Below are 19261 nucleotides of genomic sequence, written 5' to 3'. Positions count from 1 at the left end.
CTCCAAATATTTTATTTGAGAATCAGATAAGTTGTGGGGAGTGAATCTAGAACACTTTGAAGAAATAGCATGGGTCTTTTCATTAAACATTTGCTATTTCTCTTTCTATTCTTTAGGGAATGGGAGTTTGTTCTGATTGTTTGACAAGGAACATTTAGCTGGAATTCTCAAGAAATAACCCTTCTTCCCCTCCCTGTGAAGAGTGACAAAGAAAAACATAGCTTAGATTCCTGCTTCAATCTATCCATCAGAGTAAATGGACATAATATCCACACATTTTGCAGAAAAGCAATAGTGAATAATTGCTGCTTGTAAGTGCAAGGCAGTCCCAATGTGAGAAGGCATCATTTATATACCAGCCATCATCACAGCTTCTTACAGGATAGTCTCAGAATATGTAAGTCATTCCTGACAATAATCATTGGACATTGCCAGAGGTTTTAAGAAATAATTCAAAATCAAACACAGATGGGTAGTCAAAAGGCCTGAAGTCCTACACCTGCATTTCCCAGCTGTGACCTTGGGGAAAACATTTAGACTTCATCAAATTTAATTTCTGTGTTTGTTAAATGAGGATCATGCCTACTTCACAGGGTTGTTGTGATGATCAAATGAAATTGTTTATGTGACACTGCTTTGAATGCTGAAAAGCACCACCCAATGTAATTTTTATGTAAGTTTTGCTTTTAGCTACAGCCCTAGACCTATTTTTGTAATTATCTCATTTTAAAATTCTTTCTTCATGAATTTAGTTATCCAGTCATGATTTTGGAGTTTTAATAGTGTTTAACTTTTAGGAGAAAAAAAAACATGATTTCCTGTGATCAGGCCCACAATTCTACTCAATAAAGCATTTTTCAGTTCTTAGGGTATGTATCGCATATCAATGAGTCAATAATGCCTGATGCCCACATCAAAGACACATGCATTGTGTAACTTACAGCTTGATGATTTACTTCCTCCAGACAAGTAGCAACTTACACTAGGCAAGTGGAATGCAGAACTCCCAGAATGACCTCTTTTAAATCAATAATTTCTCTCTCATCTGAGTGGGCAGAGTACCTCCGGTCAGTAGTTAACTGCGTACTATCTCAGGCTGCAGGATGAAAATGTGGAAAGAGCATGGAACTGGGATTCAGAAACCTTGGGACGGAGTCTCAATCCAGCCTGGGCATGTATGACCTCGAGTAAATAGGATATAACAATATAAGCCCTGCCTACCACACGGCTGCAAGGATAAAATGGAATAATAATGGTGAAAGGGTCTCATAAACTGTAAGGTGCTTTGCAGAAGGGCATTCCTATTCCCTATATTTAAACCTAGACACATGTCGTTTCCATCAATACCTTCTTCCTTTCTTTCTGGTTCAGTGCTGGGCCCAGGTGGACCTTGATATATATCATCCACACTAAAATCTGCTCCGAGCTACAAAATTAGGGTTGAGGAATCTCACTGGACTCAAGCTAAGATTGAACTGATGCAGCAGTGCCATTTTCAGTTTATCCTAGAAGTAGGATGCCTTCCTCCTATGGAGAGCAAAATATCCCCCATGCCATTCATGGTTTTAAAAAATATATGATTATAAGCTGCACAGTAAAGAGGGGAGTTAGCCACTCGAAGGCTTGCAGTTTTGTTTTTTTTTTTAAGTGTCTTCTTCGTATAAGAGAATGTAAAACCATTTGCTGGTTGTATGCATGTGGTCAAAACTTTTAAAGGCAATAAGGAGACTGGATTTTTACTAGGAGGCTAAATAAGTATCCTACACAGCCACAGGAGGAAATTTAAGGTTTTATGACAGTTCAGCATAAGTCAGCAGCTAGAGCAGAAAAGGGGCTCGTGGGGAGGGAAAGTGTAATTTTAGCACAGTTCGAAAGACAACCATGAATCAGGAAACACAGCATGGTGTCCAGAGCCTGAGGTCAAATCCTATATCTCTGCTTCTCACTCTGAGGGTCCATAATTATATTTCTTAAAAAGGGAGATATTTTAGATATATTTTTTCTAGATTTTTTTCCTTTCTTCTTGTTGACTCCACTTCATGTCATAGCTAGTTTAAACTCTTCCAAACACAGAGGTAAGTAACCACGCTTCCCCCTTTCTCCTTGCCTCTCACCCCTTAACTGTCCCCCATCACCTGCCCCCATCACACAGCCCACACCCTTTGCATCCTTACTTCCCAGAGCCAATTCCAGCAATTGCTGATCAGAAGAGACTACCCAGAAACTTTTCCTCCAGAGTTCAGTTAGTGGTAACCCCTTACCTGACGTCCCGCCAAAACTTCTCCAGTGTGACCCAGAAGCCACCTGCAATTGCATTAATAGGGGAGTCTGTATCATTCAGATTCCTGGGCCTTACCCCAGACCTCCTGTATCTGCATCTCCAGCTGTGGGACCTGGGAATCCAAATTTTAACAAAAGTCTCAGCTGAAGTGTGTGCACTGAATTAAAAGCCACTGCTTTATCACTGATGGGGGCTTTTGGCTTAAAGATCTGAATGACTTGATGACTTATTTGAGGCTTTTAGATTTGGGCATAGCTTGATAGACAACCACACATGCAGATTCCCCCCTCCTTCGTGTCTATTCGCCTGTTTATAAAATGGAGTTAATCAATAATGACCAATAATTTAATAAATATCATCAACTCATTTAATCCTCACAACCCCATCATGAAGTAGATATTATTAATAGCCCCATTTCACAGATGAGGAAACTGCTGGGCAGAAAATTTAACTGACTCATCCATGCCGCACAATAATGGGATTGAATTATCAGTACTTTTATTTCCTTAGAAAGGTCAAATAGCACCTGATACAAGAACAGAAATAATCTGTAGTAGCAACAGCTTGCTTTTCAACTCTTCAAAGCACCCTTCTCCAGCTCATCACAGCTTCCAGTGAGAATCATCCAAGGAGTCTTTATCCCTCATCCAGAAATGCAGAGAATATGTGGATTTTTGAATGCGGAAGGTATTGGATGGCAGCTAATAGCATTTTTAATGTGAGAGATGGAGAATCTGGGGCACAGAAAGAACAGTAACTGGTCCATGGTACGTGGGTCGAAAAGAGGACCAGTGCTCTTTCTTCTGCTCCTCACTCTCCTTGTTCCCCGTCTTCTGCTCCTCACTCTCCTCGTTCCCAGGCACATCTGTAGTGAACAGGTGTGGACTGAGGCCTAATGTGAAGAACACTGGACCCCAAGACAGTGACCTCAGGCTCTAACTCTCAGAAGTACCATTTGGCTTCTCTGTGCTTAGACTCTGGGCAGTCACCATGGACTCTTCAAAGCTTACGTCCTTAGTTTCTCTTACAAGCTCTGACATTACTTATCATGTCTAGCTTTCTACCTCTGTAAATAAGAACTGACACCAAAAAAAGTCTTCCAACCCCCCCCACCCCACTTTGCCAGTGTCTTTTAAAGGCAATTGGATGGTATCAGTGAGATCTTCATGTCTTTAGAAGATAATGACTCTATGTTGTTATTAATTCCCATAATTTCCATTTTTCAAACAATGAAGAAAAGTATCTTACTCTAGACAGAAACGGATCCCTTACCTGAGTAAGTTTATCCTATTTCTGTCCATTTTGATTTAAAATTAAAGTTTTTATAATGAAAACACATTTTAAAAGCAAACATCCACTTTAAATGAGAGAAGGGGGGAAACATTAAAATTCAAGAGAAAAGGAAAGTGTCCCCAAAGAGAAGAGAATAGGTCATTATTAGGTTAGGAAGAATTTCTAGGCTGAGGCAATCAGCATCCGTGACACAGACTTGGGTTAGTCTCAGGGCAAGCAAACCTTGAATACATTGTTTCAACACTGTGATCAAATGTCTTTTATAGGAAATGAATCCTCTGGGTATTGGGCTGGCTAGAAATATCTGATCAGTGTGTTCATGAATGATTCACAAGTTTCATGGGAACAACCCACGCACCCAGTTCAAATGGGAACAACCCTGTTTGGCAACATTGAAAGGTTTGCTGTAATTATCCTTTCAGGTTAAACATCATATTTGGAGAGCTTTCCTAGGTGATGCTTTTGAGCCACAGGCTACCACTTACATGCACATGGGAAAAAATGTATATCAATGTTTCTAAACATCTTAAGAAGGCATCACAATAGCAAAATTTCTGAATATGTTTTCTTGATCCTCTCTCTCTCTCTCTCTCTCTCTCTCTTTCTCTCTCTCACCCCCCCCCCTCTTTCTCTCTCTCTGGAACAACCCAATAGTCAAGGCGGACATACTAGTCGTACCTGGAGAAAACATCTCAGACAGTAAGATCTCTTACTTTTTTCAGGAGGAGAGCAAGTTTGGGACTCCTTTCTCTTTTTCCTTCTCCAAAAACAAACAAACAAAAAAAACAGAAACAAAAAAGAATCAAAAAGGCCTTTCTGCTAATCCAGAAGCAAAAATTTCCGATATTACAGCTCGTTATGGAGGGCCACTGGGCACGCTAGTGCTCAAGAGTTTCCTGGAAAGGGTTGTATCCACCCATTTGGTATCTGTGGCCCTTAAAGAAACTGCCTAACTCTACTGACCCAGAAGACCTAGAGAGAGACCATGCTTTGGGCTGAACATCTCTAAACATGGGTAGCTGGTCATAAAGAACTACCCATCAACTGTATGTAAGAGTAAAAAGGTCTTCTCTCTGCACTTCTGTGGAGGATAAATGTCTGTCAGCTCATTTTCCATTGACCGGAAAAAAATAACTGTGTTCTCTTCCTTCACTGCCACTTTCTAAGAAACACCCCCTTCCCCACTCCCAGCATAGACTCTGGTTGCAGGGAGAAGTCTCACAGTGGAAGGTAAATAAAATTACTACCCATGTAAGAGGACTCTGTTAAGTTCAGTGGGGAAAGGAGACTAGGATGAAATCTCAGAACAAGCACCCTTTTAAAGGTATTAGAAAAACCTAGAAAAGAACTTTGGCCACCTTTGTTTAAAAAGCAGAATCATGTACTGATTAATAACACATACTTGAATCTAGACCAGCTGGGTCTCTGATTCCCAGCCCTGCCACATACCATGAGATCTTGGGCAAGTTACTTAATCTCTCTATTTCCTCATCTTTAAAATGGGGCTATTAATAGCATCTACTTCATAGGGCTGAGATGACATCATTAATTAATGCATGCAAAGCTCCTAGAGCATGCCTGGCACCCAGTAACCTTGTTAGTAGGATTGCATTATACTGCTTCGTGAAGCTTACTTCAGTTGGCAAAACAATCACATGAGAGCTAATGAATTATTTCACTTGAGCCAAATGACAATGGCATAGTCATGCAAAGCCATTCTGATAACTAATGAAAGTGCTATATTAAGGATAGAACCTTTCTTTTTAAAAGAAAGCTGAGTCACACCTGACCCAAAGTAAAAACCACATAAAGGTCCAACTCTTCTGTTTTCCAGAATGTTAGGGAGCTCAGTTGTAAAGGACCTCTCCATCATGTATCAACCTTCACAATCTTTGCGGCCAGTAGGAAGAAGATAGCCCTGGAGGAGAAGGGAGAACAGTTTGAAGTCATCCCTGTAACAGGATCACTTTTGTGGACAACTGAAATGACAGGGCAATTCAGAGAGGACTGATGGCCCTTCTCCTAGTACAATATCTGTTACCCTTGTCTCTTGTGGCCCTGATGTTTCCTGGAGTCAGGTTATGGTGTCAATGGAGAAAACAGCTGGAAGGCTTCTCCACCGCCAACACATAATAAAAGTAATCACAGATGCACAGAAGCCACAGTGTCTCCTAGGGCCAAAAAGTAGAAAGAGTAATGCTTCTTTCATTCAATTAAAAACTGATTAAATATTATGCCTCTAGACATTGTGCTACATGCTTTACATGAATTATCTCACTCAATTCTCACAATGGCCCTACCATACTATGGTTATTACCACATTACTAACAAGTGAACTAAGGCTTACAGAAGTTAAGTAATTTGCTCAGTGTCACAGCTAGTAAATGTTAAAGTCAAAATCTGAACAAACTCAAATCCTCTATTCCAAATGCCCAATCAATTAAATAATTACTCAAGTTTGAAAATGTCATACATGTAGCCTAATGAAAGCTATAAAGAATTAAAGAAATAATGCTTGTCTTGGAGGTCTAAAGAAGGTGAGCCATATCCCTGGTGGTTCAAGTGGTTAAGAAAATATTTTAAAAAGAGAAAGTGAGCCCTAAAAACACAACACAACAGTGTCCAGCCCAATCCAGGAAGGGGCAACACTGAACTCATGAACACCATCTAAGCACGTGTGGACTTGAGGCAGTTTTTCAACCTCATTCCTCAAGACCCCATATCCCTCTTCTAGTTCCATTTTTGACAAAAGCCTTCATATTACAATTTGGTTTCTCTAATTCTTAGGTACAACAAAGAAGGTGCATTGATTTGCAGTTGGGAACTCTGTGGTTGCAAAATGGATCATCTTTCAATGTTAAATTAATAAGTTTGCATTCTGTCTCTTTCATCTGGCACTTAAAAGTCAGGTTACTCTGAGTCAGCTCCTGAGAATCCCTTTGGTTCTGGTGCACTAATAACCCACCAGCCTAAGAACAGACATAGACCACTGTGACTTCACAAGAAAGTATCACCTTGTGAAGTTCTGCTTTGGAGACCAGATGACCTAACTCAACAGCATCTTCATCTCTTCTCATTCTAACCACAACAATTAGGCTGTTGGATTTGTGTGAAGTTTATTGCTAGAAGATTGGCACAGTATAGCCCTGCTCTACTAGATATAAAGCCAAGAGGTCTTGAATGGAGAAGCATTGGGAAAGTGTAGGTCTCATTTCTAACTAGTTCATATTCATGGCGAGCATAGGCTCAAAACAATGAATGCCGGATATTCATGTTTCCAACAATTTGTGGCTTCATCAGCAATTGTGGGCTGCCAAAGCTGCAGGGGACTTCCTGGTTTTGACCCATCCCAAGAGTAACAGGACACAAGGCTGATAGGATGAAATATCCAAAGTCCACCCCCAGGATTCCATTTTTTTTCTTTTTTTTTTTTTGAGACAGAGTTTTGCTCGTGTTGCCCAGGCTGGAGTGCAATGGCACGATCTCGGCTCACCGCAACCTCCACCTCCTGGGTTCAAGTGATTCTCCTGCCTTGGCCTCCCAAGTAGCTAGGATTACAGGCATGCGCCACCATGCCCAGACAATTGTGGTTTTTTTTTTTTTTTTTAGTAGAGACAGAGTTTCTCCACGTTGGTCAGGCTGGTCTCGAACTCCTGACCTCAGATGATCCACCTGCCTTGGCCTCCCAAAGTGCTGGGATTACAGGTGTGAGCAACCACACCCACTGCCCCCCCCCACCCCCACAGGGTCCCTTTTAAGAAAGGCTACAAATTATAATTAGAGGGATGGTAATCAGAAATGAAATCAAACGTGTTGGGTTCAGAAAAAAACAGAAGATGCTATATTAGTGTATTCAGGAGAGGCACTGGGAGAAATAGACAAAATAAGAAAGAGAAAGGAGCAAAATGGATATGTTTTTGTGGCTGCAGAGTAAGAAGAACCAAGAGGTCATTTGGAGCTCACTTACATGGAACAGAATGTACAGTGGGACTAAGATTGCAGGGACCGTGTCCAGCGTCCCAGTTACAGCACCGTCTCTTTGTAGTAATGACACAAAGACTATGTAGTAAATAATAATTAAGGATGAAAGACGAGCTGTGGACAAAGGGTGAGATCAGGAGGGAAATAGGCTTTGGTTGTAAATAAAAGACACATATTCACATTTGCCCTAATGATGGTTCCCACGTGCCGTGGATCTTCAGGAACAGCCTTCCTTTTATGTAATTTTATGCTTCTCCGTAAAAATTATTTGTAAAATGTTTAATTAAATGTGATTTAAATTCTATAATTTTCTGAGGTATATCATATATATTAATTTGAAAATTTAAAAATCCACCTATAATTTGCCTTTTTAGGGTTTATGAAATATAGTAACTATAACCATCTTTGCTGTTACGCTAATAATTAAAGATCTAGACTAAGTATGTGTATGGAAAATATGTTTTATAAATCACATGGAAAACACATTCTATTCACCTTGATTTAATCTTTGTAGGAGATTGGTCAGAGTGGTGGGAGAAACTATAGGGAAAGGATGCAAACCTTCTGAAAGTTCAGAAGGCTCTGCATAGCTTCAGGGGAGAATAAGCTGAAGGCAGCTGTTCTCTGATCCTGAGGCAGAGGGCAAGGAGTAGGTACAAGGAGGTGTAGGGGAATTTATCGTAAACAGGCTTGTTTACTTAGGTTGTCCAGAAACCGACCTTTGATAATCTGTGCACATGACTGCTCCCTGAAAAGGGGAACAATAATGTTAATTACCCGCAGATTGTGTTTGCTCCAGGCTTTCGGCATTATGTCTGTACTGAATAAAAGCAAGCAGCTTCAGCTGTTCGCAGCTGCTCTCTTCTTTGGCCCTAAGTGCCGGCAGACCCCTAGCTGCTCTTACACTGCACGCCTGTGTTGTCAGTACTCCCTTCATCCGACGCTCGGCCAGGGTCTGCAGGACAGACCTGGCAAATCTTCAGCAAAAATCCATCACCAGAGTTCCTACTGGATGTTTCCCCCACAAACACACAGACACTACGATGTTCTACTGCCACTGTAACAAAGTGACATGCATTTCATGGCTCAAAATAACACAAAACACGAATGTACTATCTTACTGTTCTCTATTTCAGAAATCTGACTTGGGACTCAGTGTACTAAAATCAAAGTGTTGGAGGTCCTGGGGGGGATTTGTTTTATTGCCAAACTTTTCCAGCTTTCAGAGGCTGCTCACATTCCTGGGCTTGTCCACCATTTCCATCTTCACCATCAGCCATCTCGTCACCCTTAACTCTGCCTTCATCACATCTCCTTCGCCAACACTGACTGAATCTTCTACTTCCCTCTTCCACCTTTTTTTTTTTTTTTTTGAGACGGAGTCTTGCTCTGTCACCCAGGCTGGAGTGCAGTGACGCGATCTTGGCTCACTGCAACCTCCACCTCCCAGGTTCAAGCCATTCTCCTGCCTCAGCCTCCGGAGTAGCTGGGATTACAGGTGTGCAGGCATGCAGGCATGCAGGCATGTGCCACCATGCCCAGCTAATTTTTGTGGGGTTTTTTGTTTGTTTGTTTGTTCGTTCGTTTAGTAGAGACAGGGTTTCACCATGTTGGTCAGGCTGGTCTCGAACCCTTGACCTCGTGATCCACCCACCTCGGCCTCCTAAAGTGCTGAGATTACAAGCGTGAGCCACCGTGCCCAGCCCCTCTTCCACTTTTAAAGACATTATGATTATCTTGGGCCCACCTGAATAATTCAGGATACTCTCCCTATTTTAAGGCCAGCTGATTAGCAACCTTAATTCTACTTGTGACTTTAATTACCTTTTTGCCAAGTAACATCAGCTATTCACAGGCTCTGGGTATTAGGACCTGGGCATCCTTCGGGGACCATTATTCTTCCTCCCACACCAAAGGAAACAGAGAGAGGGAGGGGAAAAGAGACAGCCCATGTATTATCTCTCTAAAACCCCAAAACCAAAACTGGAGTAAGCAATAAAGTCACGAGTGTTTAAATTCACGAACCAATCAAGCTTCCCGGTTGTACTTCAACCCTCAGGGAACATTCTGACATAAGGAGAGCATATGTTTAAGGCTATATCTTAACTAATAGTTTGAAGATGTAAACATACTCCATAACCTTGTGGGGTCATCTCTTTAGAGCAACAATAATAACAATTAACATTTACTGAGTGCTTCCAATGTGCCAAAGTGTTAAGTGTTCTCTATGTGCATTTGCTATACAACTACCCATTTTGCAGATGAAGAAAGTGAGGCACGAGAGGTTCACAGCCAGTCACACAGATAGTTAGTGCCACAGCCAGGATTCACACCCAGGACCATGGGACTCCAAATCCTGCACTTTTAACCGTCATGAAAAACTGCCTCTTCCTCCTTTTTTTTTTTAACCAATATACACTTTGCAATAATTTATTCCCTAATTGACAGAGCTAGAAGGAAAAGACCAGAGTGGGACCTAACCAAAGGCATTTGGAAATGGCTTTTACCTGTATTTGGAAACTCAAGCCTTCCTAGGGAAGAACTATGAGTTCACTGCTAGGGTGGAAAGAGTGCCTGCCCTAAAATAACTTTAAACAGATAACATGATAATAGTAAGAATAAAATATAGCAAAACAAAAAATTGGGGATTATGTTTAGGATATAATTTATATAGAAAAGTGAGATTTTAAAAGCCACAAAGCATATTAAAATAAATTCTGTAAGTTTAGAACACTCTATAAAAATATATATGACTTCTCAGCAAAAGTATCCAAAACCAGAACATAGATATAGGCTTATTTCACCTAGCTAAAATAGAGTATTCTAACACACTCACACATACACACACAAACACACACAGACACATTTTCATAATAGTATCACTGAGTACTTTTTAATGTATAATGCATAGATTATCTCCTTTCGTTTCCACAACAACCCCATCAATCAGGGCTGAGTATTAATCTCAGTTCACAGCTGTGGAAATTAAAGACTGAAGAACTGGGTAGCAATGGCAGAATTGGGATGTGAACTGACAGCTGGTAACCAGGGTATTCATCAGCATAAATCTAGACTGAGCTTTACATGGACTAAGTTTATAAAATGTAAACTCCTGAAGTTCCTGTTTCTCCTTAAGTTCACCTGGGGACAGAATTATAGCTTTTAGGCTAGACTTTTTCATCTAGCCCTTGTGACTTCCTGACAACTTCATCGGTCTCCCCTCTGTCCAGACTTGTGGGATCCTGACTTCAGGGTGGAATACGGGTGTTTTTTAATCATTCTCCTCCTCTGCCCTCATCTCTGCACAGCAGTCTACAGATTACAAAGCTTGTATGTGTACCCTACAGACCTATTACATAGCTTCTGTATGTATATTACATACAGATTACATGTATCATGTGTGTACATTGCTTGAAAATTACATAGTTCAAGTATGTTTGTTACATACCAATTATGTGGCTCATGTATGTAAAGTACACACCTATTACATAGCTAATGTATATATATTACATGTAGATCACAAAGCTTATGTATGTACATTAACTCACTTGCTCCCCACAACAACCCTCTAAACTACAAGGAAAATTATTGGCAGTCTCATTTTCATGGTAAGAACTTTGAGACCAGAGAGGTTAATGTTGCTAGGTGGGTGGGTTAACGGTAGAGCGTGGACTTTAAACCCCTAGCCCAAAATCCTTCCCACTAGTCCAAACTGCAACAAAGATGCAGAAAATGTCACCATCAAGAAGATCTTCAAAAATTAAAAAAAAAAAAGTTTTAGTTAGAATAACAGAGCTTTGAAAAGCAAATATTCCAAACCAAAAGAAAGGAGGGAAGGGAAAAGAAAAACCTGTATCGCAAACTAAAAATCGAGTCGTGATTAGTAATCTACGAGCAGTAAAATAGGTAATGAGAACAGCATTCACGCATATAGAAGGGAGAAACCTAGAAGTAAATGTGAGAAGACACTGTACACATGGGTAAAGTCTCTGTAAGCACATGGGTGAAATACGAACCAGCAGCCATGTAGGGAGTGGGCTCTAGGGCCCCTTTGCCATTAACTCACTGCACAACCTTAGGCAAGTCTTCCTCCTTTCACTGCCTTAGTTCTTACATCCATAAGAAAAAGTCCATCGTGGTAGTTACTTGTCCATAAAGCAAGTTGAGAGCCTTGAACAAAAAAATATTTTGGCAAAACATATGATTACTCCCTGTCTAAAAGCCTACTGAATAGGACACATATCAAACATATACAGTTTAAGGTACCATAATAGACACCGTGTCTATTATGCAATCCTCTCGAATAACAAATGCAGCATATACACACCACAGGGTCAATTTATTGACATAATAATAGTCAATTTATTATTGACTATTATTATGTCTTCTTTCTCACGGCAGAAAAGTAGTTAATGCTGTGCTCTTACTCTAATATCCCTGAATATCTTACTAAGTCAATCAAAATTAACAAGCAAACTTCCATTGTCTCTCCTCTGGACAGGGGCAGTCCCTTCCTGGCCATCCCCACCACTTCACTCTCACCCTCATTCATTCTCCATGAGACAGCTAGGGTGATCTTTTTGAAGATCACAGTGCAGTACTCCCCTGCTTAAAATCTTCATTTTCCACATCTCTTGTGTTGAAGATCAAAATACTCAGCAGAGCTGAGAAAGCCCAGAACGACCCTGTGTCCTGTGCGCCACCAGCGTCCTCTCACCCTGCCCTCCTCCTCACCTTCTCTGCTCCACACAGGGTAGGCATTCAGTAAATACTTGTTCAATGAATGAAAAGGCAAACAATGGGTTTTTTGTGTGAACAATGTATTAAGGTTTGTTTCTGAATAAGAAGCAACATTGGCCGCATGCAGTGGCTCGCGCCTGTAATCTCAACACTTTGGGAAGCTGAGCCAAGCAGATCTTTCAAGGTCAGGAGTTTGAGACCAGCCTGGCCAACATGGTGAAACCCCATCTCTACAAAAAATACAAAAAATAGCAGGGCATGGTGGTGGGCGCCTGTAATCCCAGCTGCTCGGGAGGCTTGAACCTGGGGGGTGGAGACTGCAGTGAGCTGAGATGGCGCCAGTGCACTCCAGCCTGGGCAACAGATCAAGACTCTGTCTCAAGAAAAAGAAAAAAAAGAAAGAAAGAAAAACGAAGAAGAAGCAGCAATATTTGAGTGAACCAAACAAATACATGATTGAGTTTCAGGCAGCAACAACTATCAAGTGGGGAAGAATGCTGGGAGCAAGGACCTTCCAACAGCCTTGCATACCCTTGCCCTGCCGCAACATGAACCACACTGAGCTAAAGGTAAAACCTATAAGGACAAGACTTCAGCAAATTGCATGAGATGATGTTTCAGCTACCAACACCACAGCTAACTCAAAACATCTCCTCCTAAGGCAAAAGAAAGTAACGCCCAGCGAGGACTAAAGCTAACACGCAGGTTAATTCCAGGATCACTAACAACAACGGTCTTTGTGTAAAGGATTTATTTGATTACCTATCATGTCCATCAGATTAAGATAATCATAAGGAGAAAAAGAAGAGTGAAGTCGTTTCAGCTTTGCAACAGCACTTCCCACCCATTTGCAGGGATCTGTTTTTCCTGCTGTTGTGTTAAGGGAATGAAATCACTGCACAGGCCTTTTGCACAGAGGCAGTGCAAAAGGATTTAAGGATCTTTCTAAAACCAGGCTTAAGTCAGAGTGTTCTGGCAGTCCTTTGAAAGAAGTTATCTAGCTGAAACATCACTTGCCTCCTCAGAAAGGTTTGGTGTCAGCTGGAAAAGGAAGGAAGCTGGAAGGAGGGAGGAGGTGCCCTCCTTCTCTGAAGGTGATAATGATAAATGAGGATCAACTACCAGTATGATGGGCTAGGCCAACCCATTCTTCTCAGGCTTATACCAAGGTACTGAATGATAAGTATGTCACTCAGATGATGATGACTTCATCGCAGCTATGTGAAAAGATCTTGACAACCAGGTTTTCTCTACTGGTGATGGTGCTAAATTGCTTTGTCTCCTGAGCACTGGCAACTCTGAATTCTAGGTATAAATGGGTAAAGATCAGTAACTGCTCCTAAGCACCCCAGAGCAGACCCTCACATAATAGGTTGTGTCATTTGACAGAATACTGAAAGGCCAAACAAAATAAAACTAAACTGTTGGATCTAGAGGCTGAAGGATCTTTAAAGGTAGGAGTGGGAGGGAGTGAGGGATAAAAGACTGCACATTGAGTACAGTGTACACTGCTCTGGTGATGGGTGCACCAAAATCTCAGAAATCACCACTAAAGAACCTATCATATGAAAAAAGGCTCAACATCACTGATAATTAGGTAAATGCAAATCAAAACCACAAGATACCAACTCACACCAGTCAGAATGGTGATTATTAAAAAGTCAAGAAACAACAGATACTGGTGAGGTTGTGGAGAAATGGGAATGCTTTTACATTGTTGGTGGGAATGTAAATTAGTTCAACCATTGTGGTAGACAGTGTGGCAATTCCTCAAAGATTTAGAACTGGAAAGACCATCTGACCCAGCAATCCTGCTACTGGATATCACCCCAACAGACCTGGTGGCCTGCCAAAAAAATATTAAATCATTCTATTATAAAGATATATGCACATGTATGTTCATTGCAGCTACTACTCACAATAGCAGAGACATGGAATCAACCCAAATGCCCATCAATAATACACTGGATAAAGAAAATGTGGTACATACACATCATGGAATACCATACAGCCATAAAAAGGAACAACATCATGTCCTTTGCAGGGACATGGATGAAGCTGGAAGCCATTATCTTCAGCAAACTAACACAGGAACAGAAAATCAAACACCACATGTTATCACTTATAAGTGGGAGCAGAACCATGAGAACATCTGGACACAGAGAGGGGAACAACACACACAGAGGCCTTTCAGGGGAGGGCGGGTGGGGAGAGCAGTAGGGAAAAGACCTATTGCATGCTGGGCTTAATACCTAAGTGATGGGTTGATAGGTGCAGCAAACCACCTGGCACATGTTTACCTATGTAACAAACCTGCATATGTAACCCAGAACTTAAAATATAATAATTTAAAAAAATAGATTGCATCATCTGCAAACAAAAAAATTCATTAATGTAATTGAAAACCACCTGTTTCCCAAAAACTATTAAAATAAAAATTTAAAATAGTTTTTAAGTAGGAATTGTGTCATATTAGTCTATTTATAAAACCAGAGTACCCCTAAAGGAAATCTTCAATAAAATTAATAACTAAGTTAGAAGATTTTAAGTCATATGATTTGTGGCTGTGGAATTCAACCAATAATGAAATTGGAGATGAAATGCACAGTTTGGGGGTATGAGATAAAAAGCAATAAAAACATTTTAAATATAGCCAACCACTTTAAATGAGCAGGTGCTTGAATCAATATCCCACAACTGCAAAAATTTTAGTGAACCTAAAGTATTGTCTCTATGGCAAAGTAAAAAAGGAAGAAAGAAGAAGAGGAAGAGGAAGAGGAGGAGGAAGAGGAGGAAGGAGAAGGAGGAGAAGAAGAAGAAGAAGAGAAGGAAGAAGGAAGAAGGAGGAGGAGGGAGAAGGAGAAGAGGAGGAAGGAGAAGAAGACGAAGAAAAGGAAGAAGAAGGAGGAGGAGGGAGAAGGAGAAGAGAAAGGAGAAGAAGAAAAGGAAGAAGAAGAAGATGACGACGAGGGGGGAGGAGGAGGAAGAAGAAGAGGAAGAAGAAGGAGAAGGAGAAGAAGAAGAAGAAGAGGAGGGGGGAGGAGGAAGGATAAGGAGGAGGAGAAGAAGAGGAGGAGGAGGAAGATGAAGGAGGAGGAGGATAAGAAGAAGAAGAAGAGAAGGAAGAAGGAAGAAGGAGGAGGAGGGAGAAGGAGAAGAGGAGGAAGGAGAAGAAGAAAAGGAAGAAGAAGATGACGACTGGGGAGGAGGAGGAAGAAGAAGAGAAAGAAAAAGAAGAAGAAAGAGGAGGAGGAGGGGGAGGAGGAGGAGGGGGAGGAGGAGGAGGAGGGGGAGGAGGAGGGGGAGGAGGAGGCGGGGAGGAGGGGGAAGAGAGGGAGGAGGGGAGGAGGAAGGGGAGGAGGGGAGGGGGGGAGGAAGAGGAGAAGCAGGAGGAAGAGGAGAAGAAGAAGAGGAGGAGGTGGAGGAGGAAGAGGAAGAAGGAGAAGAAGGAGAAGGAGGGGGAGGAGAAAGGGAGAAGGAGGAGCTCAATGGCAACAGGGAAGGAAACTAAAGTTTTACATCACTGGATCCTGACTTTTTAAACTTATATACTCCTTTGAAAAGTTAATGAGGCCAGGTGAAGTGGCTCATGCCTTTTATCTTACCTCTTCGAGATGCTAAGATAGGAGAATTGCATGAGCCCAGGAGTTTGAGACCAGCCTAAGCAACGTAGCAAGGCCTCGTCTCTACAAAACATTAAAAAAAGAATTTGCCTGGTGTGGTGATGCACGCCTGTAAGTCCCAGCTACTGGGGAGGTGGAGGCAGGAAGATCACTTGAGCCAGGAGGTTGAGGCTGTAGTGAACCATGATTGCACCACTGCCCACAGCTCAGGCAACAAAGTGAGACCCTGTCTCAACAAATAATAATTAATTTAAAAAAATTTCTTTTGAGATGGAGATTCACTCTTGTCACCCAGGCTGGAGTGCAATGGTGTGATCTCAGCTCACTCCAACCTCTGCCTCCTAGGCTCAAGCAATTCTCCTGCCTCAGCCTCCAGAGTAGCTGGGATTACAGGTGCACGCCACCATGTCCAGCAAATTTTTTGTATTTTTGGTAGAGACGGGGATTTCACCATGTTGGCCAAGCTGGTCTTGAACTCATACCCTTAGGTGATCAATCCACCTGCTTCGGCCTCCCTAAAGTGCTGGGATTACAGGCATGAACCACCAAGCCCGGCCTAATTGAAATTTTTAAATACAACAGTTAATAAAAGCTTCTATTCCTCAGAAAAGCAAGCATATAAGCATGCAGAGAAATTTTTGCATATAGTTTTAGAGATTTTACTAACTTCTTAAAGTCTATCTATTGCATTCCATGTTTAAAATTGCAGCTGCAATTGACTGTTTTCAGCTGGGAACATTTTCCCAATGGATAAGATGCTACAAGGGCATAAGCATGAGTGGTCAAGTAAAGCTGATATAAAACACTTTGTTACAGCATGATCCTCAGACCGTTTTCTCATATTTCTATTTGTCCAGGAAAAAGGGGCCAACAGAGAGATGATGTGAGTTATGAAGTCTTCAATACAGTATTTCAAATGAGGAAGAAAACAACAGCCAACTTGAGTCGCTTACAAATAGTATCTGTATATAGTGTCTGTTCATGTCCTTTGCCCACTTTTAATGGGCATGTTTTATTTCTATAAATGTCTAATCTTCTTATGTAACCTTCCAACTCATAGGATAATAGCATAGCAATTTTGCCTGAAGACCTACTACTCATCTGTGCTGAAATATCATGTGTAGTAAAAATGTATTTGAGAGTCATTTTGGCCATCTTTCTCTACTATAAAGAACGGGTGCCTATAAAATGCTTCATTAATGGAATGGTTGTCTTGAAAAGGCACACAAACAGACGGTGTACCCAGTTCATGACAGCTACCTTCTGACAGGGCTCCCTTCTGACCCCAACACACCCACATGCAACCCCATGCATTCACTCAACAGCTGAGCTGTCTTACAAAGTACCCACTCCCTTTCAAGACGACAACTGAGTTCATCAGAAAGATGAATCAAATGTGAAAACTACAAATGTTTCAGCCAGAAAATCATGCAAAGCAGAATGATTTTGATTCTGAACAATTTGCACTCTACAGAAATACCAAAAGAAATCCTGAAACCATATTGCAAGTGAAATGCTTGTGAACCAAAAGGATCAGTAAATGTTGGCCATTTACTGAGGAAGCAGTTGGAGGCTTCATCCCTCGCGTTCTTTAAGAATACTTCAAAAACAAGCTCAGCACTCTGCCGTTGTCCTCCCTAAAAGCAAAAATCTGCAACAAGTGGCTCAGCGTTGCTTTTCTTTCCAGTCCTGCGATTCCAAAAATCCTGGCATTTACAGGCCATTTTATCCTTCTTAAAAATGTAAAATTTAAAAGAATGTGATGAACGTTTTTAAATTCTAGAAAAACTATGTCACTAAAGTGAATTCATTTTAGTTCCTTATTTGCCAATTAAAATGTGTTAATTGACTTAAGTTTTTCTAAAATGGAATAAGTCGCAGGAGCCCATTTTTCCAATTATTCTAGCCATTCTTTTGTCTTCCAATACATACACATAGTATCTGAAAGGATGTTCACCAAATGTCACCAAACGTTGTGTGTGTGTGGTAGAATTTTTAAATATTTTTTCCTGTACCATCATGTATCACTTGATTTTGTATAATAAGCATGTATCATTTCTTTTAATGCTTTTAAAATGATGCTTTTAAAAAAGCATCATTTCTTTTAAAATCCAATGGAACTCTACACATTAGAAGTTATGGAAAACCAGGGCCGGGTGCGGTGGCTCATGCCTATAATCCCAGCACTTTGGGAGGCCGAGGTGGGTGGATCACAAAGTCAGAAGTTCAAGATCTGCCTGGCCAACATGGTAAAACCCCGTCTCTACTAAAAACTACAAAGATTAGCCGGGCGTGGTGGCACGCACCTGTGGTCCCGGCTACTCGGGAGGCTGAGGCAGAAGAATCGCTTGAACCCGGGAGGTGGAGGTTGCAGTGAGCCACGATCACATCACTGCACTCCAGCCTGGGCGACAGGGCGAGACTCTGTCTCAAAAAAAAAAAAAAGAAGTTATGGAAAATTGGCTGGGCAGGGTGGCTCATGCCTGTAATCCCAGCACTTTGGGAGGCCAAGGCAGGCAGATCATGAGGTCAGGAGTTCAAGACCAGCCTGGCCAACATGGTGAAACCCCGTCTCTACTAAAAATACAAAAAATTAGCTGGGCATGGTGGTGCGCACCTGTAATCCTAGCTACTCGGGAGGCTGAGGCAGGAGAATCGCTTGAACCCAGGAGGCGGAGGTTGCAGTGAGTCAAGATTGCGCCATTGCACTCCAGCCTGGGTGACAGAGCAAAACTCCATCTTGAGAAAAAAAAAAAAAGAAGTTATGGGAAACCATCATATAACAGTACTAGAAGAGACTATTTCTCCCCAGTGCTCTCAGATCTCACCACCAGTTTTTCCTGGCCCTGGTCCTGCTATGACACAAGAAATCTTTTGCTCAAGGATAAGTCCTATAAATCAAAACTCCCACACATGGACATAAAATGAGACAGTGGCCAAATCTATGGGGTTGATAAGTCACTGCCACTCAGACATGCCTGAAATAATTAGAGAAGCATTAATTTCATTGTAGATTCTGGTGAGAGAATTTAGAAAAAGGCAGTGCAGCCCGGCCCTTGCACATGCTAAAGGTAAATGTTTTCTTCCTTGGTAAGTCTGGGTCCAGGCGAACAGGAACCAGAGCTGACCATAACTTTGATGACCAGGAACCGTCCACATCCACAGAACACTGGTTGCCACCACTCGCCAAACAAGTCTCTCTAGTTCCCTCATTTGCTCTATTTTTATCACTTGTCTCTTTTGTCTTTTTCTCATATCTGAGATGTAAGTGACTGTCGGCACTCTTTCTAAGCACTCTCCAAGCTTCCCTGAGGCTTGGAGGCTCATTTTTCCAGCTCGTGCA

The 19261-nt window shown here is 41.5% G+C and overlaps 1 long non-coding RNA gene across 2 annotated transcripts in view, besides 2 other annotated features; it reads right to left on the bottom strand.

The window, feature by feature from the left end:
• The window catches only part of LOC107985072 (uncharacterized), a 55255-nt gene that overhangs the window by 25899 nt on the left and 10095 nt on the right, over positions 1-19261 (bottom strand). The gene's annotated exons all lie outside the window — the stretch shown is intronic.
• Positions 225-1424: an enhancer, noted in NCBI's record as "P300/CBP strongly-dependent group 1 enhancer chr17:39112787-39113986 (GRCh37/hg19 assembly coordinates)". NCBI's record gives its function as "activates an origin of replication core promoter dependent on BRD2, BRD4, P300/CBP, MED14 and CDK7 cofactors, with strong dependence on P300/CBP, by STARR-seq in HCT116 cells {active_cell/tissue: HCT116}" and the evidence as "EXISTENCE:reporter gene assay evidence [ECO:0000049][PMID:35650434]".
• Positions 3323-4522: an enhancer, noted in NCBI's record as "CDK7 strongly-dependent group 2 enhancer chr17:39109689-39110888 (GRCh37/hg19 assembly coordinates)". NCBI's record gives its function as "activates an origin of replication core promoter dependent on BRD2, BRD4, P300/CBP, MED14 and CDK7 cofactors, with strong dependence on CDK7, by STARR-seq in HCT116 cells {active_cell/tissue: HCT116}" and the evidence as "EXISTENCE:reporter gene assay evidence [ECO:0000049][PMID:35650434]".

This window comes from Homo sapiens, chromosome 17 (assembly GCF_000001405.40).
Source record: "Homo sapiens chromosome 17, GRCh38.p14 Primary Assembly".
NCBI classification, from domain to species: domain Eukaryota; kingdom Metazoa; phylum Chordata; class Mammalia; order Primates; family Hominidae; genus Homo; species Homo sapiens.
The sequence above is the reverse complement of the archived record's forward strand: the minus strand, read 5'-3'. Positions and strand labels throughout refer to the sequence as shown.